Genomic DNA, 11075 nt, shown 5'->3' with positions numbered 1-11075 from the left:
TGATTCCTATGGTGCTTCTTAAAAGATAAGCAAGGAAACGCAAGTTGCCACTCTGGAAGAGAGGTTGGCCACACTGACCGGTCCCAATGAGGTGAATCCACCACAGGATATCCGGGATCTTTCTGCACACAAGGCGGTGGCAGACTCCCTTTGACCAAACTTACAAGGCTGACGCATAGCAGAAGATCCATTTATTATTGGAGAGCACAGTAAATACCCCACCAGCAGAATGGAGCACTTCCATCAGCCTAACCAGCACGTGCTTCCCTACAGCACAAGTTCCATGAGGATCCACGGTGTCACAGCACTGCTTGGTGGCAGGGAGTCAGAATAAACAACAGCATTAAGAAGCATTTATCGGCCAGGCACGGTGGCTCACGCCTGTAATCCCAGCACTTTGGGAGGCCGAGGCGGGCGGATCATGAGGTCAGGAATTCGAGACCAGCCTGACCAACGTGGTGAAACCCCATCTCTACTAAAAATACAAAAATTAGCCAGGCATGGTGGCAGGCACCTGTAATCCCAGCTACTAGGGAGGCTGAGGCATAAGAATCACTTGAACCTGGGAGGCAGAGGTTGCAGTGAGCCAAGATTGCACCACTGCACTCCAGCCTGGGTGACACAGCCAGACTCCATCTCAAAAAAAAAAAAAAAAAAAAGTGTTTATCACAGAGCAGCTTGAAGCCACCTCTGTTTTGGGAGGACAGTCTTACCCGGGGAATGGGGATGATGCTTGAGCCAGCGCAACCAAGAACCTGTGCCCTGGACAATGCCAGCCCTGGCTCTGTGACCATCCCCTTCCTAAATGTCCCCTACTGAGGGACACTTCCATTCACTCTTTCTCCAAAGTTGCAAGGTAACTGACCAGGTTCCCCTTGGTAAACTAGGATCGTATTCCAGGCCTCCCCCTCTGAGCCAGACTCCTTCAGAAACTTTGCCTGGCATTGATGTACCCCACACTCTTCAGTCATGTTTGCAGATAACCAAACTGATGACTCTTAGAAAAGGCCAGTCTGCATCCATGGCAGAGTTCATACCCCTAAGATGGCCACGACAATACCTCCCACTCCACATACTTGTTCCATAACTTTGTGCCTTACCCAGCAAGAAATTCAGTCTCTGTCCTCCCTCGCCCTTGACTCTAGGCAGGCTTGTGACTCACTTGGAACCAACAAGTTACGGGGATGGGAGAGATGCTGTATAACTTCGGAGGCTAGATCACAGAAGGCAGCATGGCTTCCAGCTTGTTCGCCAGAATACTTGCTCTGAACTCCCCACATGGACTCACTACAGAATGACCCTGAGGCTAAATGGAGAGAGAGAAAAACAGAAGCTCCACCCACACCAAACTATAATGCATGAGAGACCCCAGGTCAGAACCACCCAGCCAAGCCCTCTCCCAATTCCTGACCCACAGAAACTAAGAGATATAATAAAAAGACTGTTGTTGTTTTAAACCACTAAATTTTGGTGTGATTGGTTACACAGCAACAGATAATCAGTAACAGAGGACCATTTTACTTCCCTTCTGCCTAGGGTGACCATACCTCCCAGTTTAAGTGAGACAATCCCAGGGCATAATTATTGATAGTAATCCCTTCGTCACCCCCAAAGTGTCCCAAATTTGAATGGTAAGTCATATGGTCACCCTACATTTGGCCAAGTTCTCAGAACACACTTTAGATTCTGGCAACAACTCTTCACTCACAGCCTAGAATAATCGAAATGCCTGAGGTACCTAGCACAGTGTGTTGAAGAAATCAATGCTGGTTCCTTCTCTTTCTCCTAATTCTGTTCTGTCTGAATGCTCAGCAGTATTTTACCAAGAGATGGCTTCGGGCGCAGTGGCTCATGCCTGTAATCCCAGCACTTTCGAAGGCCAAGTCAGGTGGATCACCTGAGGTCAGGAGTTCAAGACCAGCCTGACCAACATGGTGAAACCTCATCTCTACTAAAAATACAACAATTTGCCAGGCATGGTGGCGGGCACCTGTAATCCCAGCTACTCGGGAGGCTGAGGCAGGAGAATCATTTGAACCGGGAGATGGAGGTTGCAGTGAGCCAAGATCTTGCCACTGCACTCCAGCCTAGGCAACACAGCGAGACTCTGTCTCAAAAAAATAAAATTAAATAAAAAGGAGATGGCTTCAGGAGCAGGCTCAGTCCCCTCACAGTCCCTGGAACACTCTCCCCCAACAAAACCTGCATCCTCCTGAAAGCAGAGTACCTGCTACACAGACACAGCTCCCAGGCAAGTCCAGGGCTACCCCCTTCACAAGACGGCTCTCAGTAAGCCTGTCCCACGGGGAAATTCTGGAGCTGCCGCTGGTATTCAAGATGGGAAGGCTCTGAATTCCTTAGAGAGAGCAGGCAAGAGACAGAGGAGGGGCGAGACAACCCTGCAACCGTCTTTTTATTATCTCTCTTGGTTTCTGTGGGACAGGAATTTGGGGTGGGCTTGGCTGGATGGTTCTGCCTTGGGGCCTCTCGGGCCTCTCGGAAAGGCCTTCTTCACCACCCCTGTAAGGGATGGAAGCTTCTGAGTCCACAAAACTGTTCACAAATCCTGGCTCCACCATTTACTCACTGGGCCAAGTACTCAACGACTCTGAGCTTCTTTCTCCCCACCTGCACGAATGGGAGGGTCCATGGCAATTTCAAGGAACTTTTAGAAAAGAATCAAAGAAGTAATTTTTTTTGTTGTCTTTGTTTTTTTCAGAGAGGAAATTATTTATATAAAGCCCATAGCACAGTGCCTGGCATAAAGTAAGCACTCAATGAATGTTATTTTCTTTTTTAAGACACAGGAGCTTACTACTAGAAAATGTACCTGTCTTACCTGGAAGGGACAGAACAGTACAACAAGAAAGGCCAATGGGCCAGTTGCGGTGGCTCACACCTGTAATCCCAGCACTTTGGGAGGCCGAGGGGGGGTGGATAACATGAGTTTAGGAGTTCGAGAACAGCCTAGCCAACATGGCCAAACCCCGTCTCTACCAAAAATACAAAAATTAGCCAGGCGTGGTGGTGCAGGCCTGTAATTCCAGCTACTCCGGAGCCTGAGGCAGGAGAATTGCCTGAACCCCGGAGGCAGAGGTTGCAGTGAGCCAAGATCGAGCCACTGCACTCCAGCCTGGGTAAGAGAGGGAGACTCTGTCTCAAAAAACTAAAAAGGCCAATCAGAAAACAGAAATAACGGTGTATCTCACTTCTAGACACAGACATAGGGGGATGTATGTATATGGAGGGCCTGGCAGGCACCTGTAGTCCCCCTTTTTCAGTTCAGAAAACATTTCTGTCCCGCAGGCGGGGTGCTGTGCACGCCGCGATCCGCATTTGCAGGACCAGGGATGTTGTGCTGCTCTCCGATGAGGCAGTCACAGAGTCTGTCTGCTGCAGCCCTTTCTGAACCTCTGGCTGTCTGGACGCTCCACTGTGCTCCTTACCAAGATGAAGTGCATCTTGGTGGCCATTGAGGGCACAGAGGCCCTCTTCTACTGGACGGATGAGGAGTTTGAAGAGAGTCTCCAGCTGAAGTTCGGGCAGTCAGAGAATGAGGAAGAAGAGCTCCCTGCCCTACAGGACCAGCTCAGCCCCCTCCTAGCCCCGGTCATCATCTCCTCCATGACGATGCTGGAGAAGCTCTCGGACACCTACACCTGCTTCTCCATGGAAAACAGCAACTCCCTGTATGTCCTTCACCTGTTTGGAGAATGCCTGTTCATTGCCATCAATGGCGACCACACCAAGAGCGAGGGGGACCTGCAGCGGAAGCTGTACATGCTCGAGGCATTTCTCAAATGCACAAACATTGTTTCATGAGCCATTTTAGCCCAGATAGGTCATGGTTTCAGTGGCAAATGCTGCAGGTGGTAGATGCCTGTTACATGAACCACATTGGCCAGTGCAGACCTTGCCAGCATCCGAGATGGCTGCAACCCTGTGTAGGGCCCTGATGATAGACCAGACCTTTCTGTGTTCAGTGGCCTCTGTGTGAGAAGCTTAAGCACCACCCTGGCTCTCTCTAGCTGGGTTTATATGACATGTGTTTGTGTGACAGAGATTGAAGAGTGAGGTGATTTGCTCAGCTGCCTGCCTTCTGGCTCCGTGCCTATCCCACCCCACTCCACAGCTAGAGCTGGGCCAGAAACCCGACCCGCTTTCCCAGCTGTGTGGGCAGGTCACATGGGCTCACCTGGCTCTAACACTGAGCTGGGACTCTGGTCCTTTTGTTGGGTGTGGGAGAGACCAGCTTTCTCGTGGTCTCTCCCGCCCTCTCTGGCTCTGCCCTCAGGCTGCGGCCCCCAGACCTGGGGCAGCGTGTCCAGCTGTGGGAGCACTTTCAGAGCCTGCTGTGGACCTATAGCCGCCTGCGGGAGCAGGAACAGTGCTTCGCCATGGAGGTGATTACTGGGCGCAGGAGTCCGCAGGACTTGGAGCTGTCAGGTCAGAGGCGGCCTTCAGCTTTAAGACCATGTTTTAACCCTAATGAGTGAAGGCACAAGCAGCCCCTGAAACTCGTGTATTCAGACAGAGTTGTTCTTTCTGGCCATATGGAGGGTTGGGTACTCTGATGGGCTTTCCCATGGTAAAACAGCTCGATCCTGGATAATACAGACTTTTAATGTAATTTTTGGGTTCACTGTAAATTACAGAAATCTTTGAAGACAGTTCCTTCAACCCTCCCCTCCTCCTCCCACAAAATTATATTGAGGTGGAACAGGAGGGGAAAGCAGTGGAGAAGAACACAGCGCTAAAGGTAAGATTGCCCTGACTGCAAATGATACCAGCACTACAGGCAGTAAACAGCCTTAGGCCAGCAGCAGCATAGTAAAGCTGAGCCTGCAACTCTAGTTTAAGCCCAGCCCCAAAAAGTTAAAGTGGCTGCTGGTCCTTTTATAAGGCATAGTCAATAAAAAACTAAAAAATTAAAAATAAAAACTAAAGTGGCTGCTGGTCGGTAGCACTCCTTGGCTTCCTAAAGAGGTAAACCAAATTATCTTGCAAGCAGTGGTTTTCATACGCCAGTGTGTGTCAGAACCTTCTATAGGGCTTGTCAAATACAGGTTACTGGGCCTCACTTTCAGCATTTCTCATTTAGCAAGTCTGGGATGGGGGCTCTAGAACTTGCATTTTTTTTTTTTTTTTTTTGAGACGGAGTCTCGCTGTGTCGCCCAGGCTGGAGTGCAGTAGAGCGATCTCTGCTCACCGCGACCTTCCGGGTTCAAGTGATTCTCCTGCCTCAGCCTCTCGAGTAGCTGGGATTACAGGCACATGCCACTACGCCTGGCTAATTTTTGTGTTTTTAGTAGAGATGGGGTTTCACTATGTTGGTCCGGCTGGTCTCGAACTCCTGACCTCATGATCCACCCACCTCAGCCTCCCAAAGTGCTGGGATTACAGGCATGTGCCACCGTGCCCAGCCCTAGAACTTGCATTTCTAAAAAATTCCCAGGTGCTGTTTATTGTGCTCGTCCAGGAACCACACTTTGAAAACCACTGCTAAAGCAGGACAGGTTAAGATCGAACAAATGTGAACTCACAACTGAAGAAAATCAGATACAGAAGAAAATAAGCCACCATGAGTGAGAGTCAGGAAAATCAATCACCAGCAGATTTAGATCCCAAGGCACTTGATACATTGGAACTATTCGGTATGGAATATAAAATAACTATGAAATATTTAAAGATATGAAATGTAGAATCACAAAACGAGATAAGTAGAAGAAACTCTAAATTGACCAGGCTAATTTGAAAAAGAACCCATACAGATATTTTAGAAATGAAAACATAGTTGTTAAAATGAAAACTCAAGGGATGTGTTAAATAGCAGATGAGACATAGCTAGAGGGAGAATTAATGAGCTGGAAAATAGATCTGAAGGAATCCATTCTCGCACCCCCACTCATTCACTCTTCCAATAAATATATAGTACCTATTATATGCTAAGAGGTGTGCCAGGCCTTGGGAATAAAGAGATGAATAAAGACACATTCACTGCCCTTGAGGAGAAATCAGCCATGTATATACTAAAAGATATAATAAAGAATCCGGGGTGCCATATTGGGTTTTTCATCAAAAGCCATGGTGGCACAAGAGATGGAGTGGTTAACTCTTTTTGGGACATTAGGAAAGACTTCTTGTAGGAGGTGACCTAATGCCATTAGTATAAAATCCAAACTCCTTCCCAAGCCTACCAGGCCCTGTGTGATCTATCACTGCCTGTCCCACTCCAGCTTCATCTCATTCCTCTCTTGTCCACACTTACTAAGTGCTAGTCTCATGAAACGTCTTTAAGTTTCAGGAAAACTCTATATTTAGATCTGTCCAATATAATAGTCATTAGCTACATGTGGCTTTTGAACATTTGAAATATAGCTAGTGCAAATTGAGTTATGCCATGCATGTGAAATATATACCAGATTTTGGTAACTTAGCACAAAAAAGAATGTAAAACATTCCCATTAATAAGGCTTTTATATCGTATGGTGATAATATTTTGGATATATTGAGTAAAATGAAATATATAATTAAAATTAAAAAATTTTAAAAAAGAAAAAAAAACATTTCTGTCATCATTCCTTTGGTTGGAATGGAAGCCCTTTGAAAGCAAGAATCTCACATTATTGATCATAAATACAACAGGTCTGCTGCCGAGGAGTGGTCCTCATTAATGCCAGTTAATCTCATACCAATTTTTTTTTTTTTTTTTTTAGACAGACTCTCACTCTGTCACCCAGGCTGGAGTGCAGTGGTGTGATCTTGGCTCACTGCAACCTCCACTTACGAGATTCAAGCAATTCTCCTGCCTCAGCCTCCCCAGTAGCTGGGATTACAGGCACCCACCACCACGCCTGGCTAATTTCTGTATTTTTAGTAGAGATGAGGTTCCACCATGTTGGCCAGGCTGATCTCAAACTCCCGACCTCAGGTGATCCACCTGCCTCGGCCTCCCAAAGTGCTGGGACTACAGGCATGAGACACCACACCTGGTCCTCCAATTTTGATTCTTTCTTTTTTTTTTTTTTTTTTGAGATGGAGTTTCGCTCTTGCAGCCCAGGCTGGAGTCCAGTGGTGCTATCTCAGCTCACTGCAACCTCCGCCTCCCAGGTAGCTGGGATCACAGGGTGCCTTCCACCACACCTGGCTAATTTTTGTTTTTTTAGTAGAGGATTTCACCATTTTGGCCAGGCTGGTCTCAAACTCCTGACCTCAGGTGATCTGCCCGCCTTGGCCTCTCAAAGTGCTGGGATTACAGGCATGAGACACCACCACTGGCCAGATTCTTTTTTTCATTAACTCAGTCAATGAGTACCTACTTAAGCACCTACTCTATGCCAGTGATACGCTTTGGCTGTGTCCTCACCAAAATCTCATCTTGAATTCCCATGTGCTGTGAGAGGGACCCAGGGGGAGGTAATCGAATCATGGGGGCAGGTCTTTTCCATGCTGTTCTCATGATAGTGAATAAGTCTCACAAGATCTGACGATTTTAAAAGGGGGAGTTCCCCTACACAAGCGCTCTCTCTTTGCCTGCTACCATCCATGTAAAATGTGACTTGCTCCTCCTTGCCTTCTGCCATGATTGTGAGGCCTCCCCAGCCATGTGGAACTGTAAGTCCATTAAACCTCTTTCTTCTGTAAATTTCCCAGTCTCCAGTATGTCTTTATCAGCAGCATGAAAATGGACTAATACAATCACCTGTTTTAGAAATGATGGTCAGAAAAGACCTGCATAAGGAGTTAACTCTCGAGCAGAGGCATAGATGATGAGACCAATTCAACTACCAGGAAACCTGGGGGAAGAGTGTGCCATGCAGAAAGAACGTCAAGTCCAGAGGCCCTGCTGAGATGGAAAGAAGGCTGGTGGGCTGGGCACAGTGGCTCACGCCTGTAATCCCAGCACTTTGGGAGGCCAAGGTGGATGGATCACTGGAGGTCAGGAGTTTGAGACCAGCCTGGCCAACATGATGAATCCCCGTCTCTACTAAAAATACAAAAACTAGCCTGGTGTGGAGGCACACACCTGTAGTTCCAGCTACTTGGGAGGCTGAGGCAGGAGAATCACTTGAACCCCAGAGGCAGAGGTTGCAGTGAGCCAAGATCACACCACTGCACTCCAGGCTGGACAACAGAGCTAGACTCCGTTTCAAAAAAAAAAAAAAGAAAAAGAAAGAAAGAAGTTCAGTGTATTTAAGGCACAAGAAGAATATGGTGGCTAGAGGTAGACCAGTGGCCAGGTGAGGTGGCTTACACCTGTAATCCCAGCATATTGGGAGGCCAAGGCTGGAGGATGGCTTAAGCCCAGGAGTTCCAGACCAGCCGGGGCAACATAGTGAGACCCCATTTCTACAAAAAATTAAAAATTAGCCAGGAGTGGCAGCATGAGCCTCTAGTCCCACCTACTCGGAGGCTGAGGTGGGAGGATTGCTTGAGCCCAAAAGGTCAAGACTGCAGTGAGCCATGATCACACCACTGCACTCCAGCCTGGACAACAGAGCAAGACCCTGTCTCAAAGAAGTAAATATTTTAAAAATAACAAAGGTAGACAGTGACCACACAGGCCACAAAAAGATATTCATATTTCCCTCTAAGCATATAATGGGAAGCTAGTAGAAGGTTGTGGACAGATTCCTTTGACCACCATATAGAGAAGAAACCCTAGAGCAGCAAGAGTGTATCCAAGCGTGATGTGAAATGGGGATAAAAAGTGATAGCATTCGGCTGGGCACAGTGGCTCACGCCTGTAATCCCAGCACTTTGAGAGGCCGAGGCGGGTGGATCACAAGGTCAAGAGTTCGAGACCAGCCTGACCAACATGGAGAAACCCCATCTCTACTAAAGATACAAAAAATTAGGCAGGCGTGGTGGCACACGCCTGTAATCCCAGCTACTTGGGAGGCTGAGGCAGGAGAATTGCTTGAACCCGGGAGGCGGAGGTTGCAGTGAGCTGAGATTGCGCCACTGCACACCAGCCTGGGTGACAGGGCAAGACTCTGTCTCAAAAAAAAAAAAAAAAAAAAAGTGATAGCATTCAAGATGCATTGTGCAAGTAGAATAAAGAGAACATAGTGAAGAACTAAATGTGGGAGGGAAGGAAAAACGAACTACCAGTGATGACTACAAGGCTTTCCACTGGGCACAATTCACCAGACACCATTAACAAAAATTAGGAAAAAAAAAAAATGAGCAGTTGGGAGAGAGCTTATGGAAATAGGTGCTGCTATTAGCATTCTCATTTTTCAGATGAATAAGCAGGTTTAGAGAGGTTGAATAGGCCAGGTGCGGTGGCTCACGCCTGTAATCCCAGCACTTTGAGAGGCTGAGGCGGGTGGATCACAAGGTCAGGAGTTCGAGACCAGCCTGACCAACATGGTGAAACCCCGTCTCTACTAACAGTACAAAAAATTAGCCGGATATGGTGGTGGGCACCTGTAATCCCAGCTACTCGGGAGGCTGGGGCAGATAATTGCTTGAACCTGGGAGGCAGAGGTTGCAGCGAGCCGAGATCTCGCCACTGCACTCCAGCCTGGGCAACAGAGCGAGACTCTGTCTCAAAAAAAAAAAAAAAAAAAAAAAGAGGTTGAATAACCTGTCCAAGTTCACCCAAATGATAAGTGGAATTACTAAGTCCTTTCACACACATTTATTTTCACCCCCACAGCGCCCTCTAATTATCATCTTCAATTTACAAATAAGGAAACAAGGCAAGGAATGTGAAGGCCACACATAGCTATCAAGTGGCAGAGCTGGCTGGGCACAGTGGCTTATGCCTGTAATCCCAACACTTTGGGAGGCCGAGGCGGGGGGATCACAAGGTCAAGGGATTGAGACCATCCCAGCCAACATGGTGAAACCCTGTCTCTACTAAAAATATAAAAATTAGCTGGGCATGGTGGCGCATGCCTGTATTCCCAGCTACTCAGGAGGCTGAGACAGGAGAATCACTTGAACCCAGGAGGTGGACGTTGCAGTGAGCTGAGATCGCGCCACTGCACTCCCGCCTGGCAACAGAGCGACACTCCGTCTCAAAAAAAAAAAAAGAAAAGAAAAGAAAAAAAAAAGAATGTGGCAGAGCCTAGACTTCAGGTATATTTTCTAATAAAGGAGACATACTAGGCGGCTAAGGAAACCTATGTCAGGTAGAAAGGATCTGAGGTTTGAATAAAGTCATGCCCTCAGATTATCTTTCATTGTTTTAAAATTCCGAAAGAAAGACACCAGGAGGAACTCCATAGCCTGGGAGTTGCTGAGAGGACAGCACTGTTATCTACTGTAGTAAAGCAGTTCCTGAGTCGTCACTTCAGAATCACAGCTAATGCGGAGCTCTTGGGCTCCAGCATAAACATATCCGTATAATCTATCAAAATGAGACCCAGAATCTGAATTTTTAAAAATACTATCCTGGTCAGGTGTGGTGGCTCACGCCCGTAATCCCAGCACTTTGGGAGACCGAGACAGGAGGACTGCTTGAGCCCAGGAGTTTGAGACTAGCCTTGGCAACATGATGAGACTTCGTCTCCACAGAAGTTTTTTTTTTTTTTTTTAATTAGCCAGGCAGCCGGACGCAGTGGCTCACGCCTGTAATCCTAGCACTTTGGGAGGCCGAGGTGGGTAGATCACCTGAGGTCAGGAGTTCGAGACCAGCCTGGTCAGCAAGGTGAAACCCCGTCTCTACTAAAAGGAAAATTAGCCGGGCATGTTGGTACACGCCTGCAATCCCAGCTACTCGGGAGACTGAAGCAGGAGAATCACCTGAACCTGGGATGCGGAGGTTGCAGTGAACTGAGATAGCGCCACTGCACTCCACTCCAGCCTGGAAGACAGAGCAAGACTCCGTCTAAAAAAAAAAATTAGCCAGGCATGGTGGCATGCACCTGTAGCCTCAGCTGCTCCGCACGCTGAGGCGAGAGGACCACTTTAGACCAGGAGTTAAAGACCAGCCCGGGCAACATAGTGAGACGCTGTCTCTACAAAATTTTTAAAAATCATTAGCTGGCCGGGTACGGTGACTCATGCCTGTAACCCTAGCCCCAGTGGGTGGACTGTTGAGCTCAGGAGTTTGAGACCAGCCT

At 47.8% G+C, this 11075-nt stretch overlaps 1 pseudogene; it reads left to right on the top strand.

Annotated features, from left to right (window-relative positions):
* On the top strand, nucleotides 3299-4446 carry LOC100500719 (HPS1, biogenesis of lysosomal organelles complex 3 subunit 1 pseudogene; annotated as a pseudogene).

The sequence above is a fragment of the Homo sapiens genome, chromosome 22 (assembly GCF_000001405.40).
Source record: "Homo sapiens chromosome 22, GRCh38.p14 Primary Assembly".
Lineage (NCBI taxonomy): Eukaryota > Metazoa > Chordata > Mammalia > Primates > Hominidae > Homo > Homo sapiens.
The sequence above is the reverse complement of the archived record's forward strand: the minus strand, read 5'-3'. Positions and strand labels throughout refer to the sequence as shown.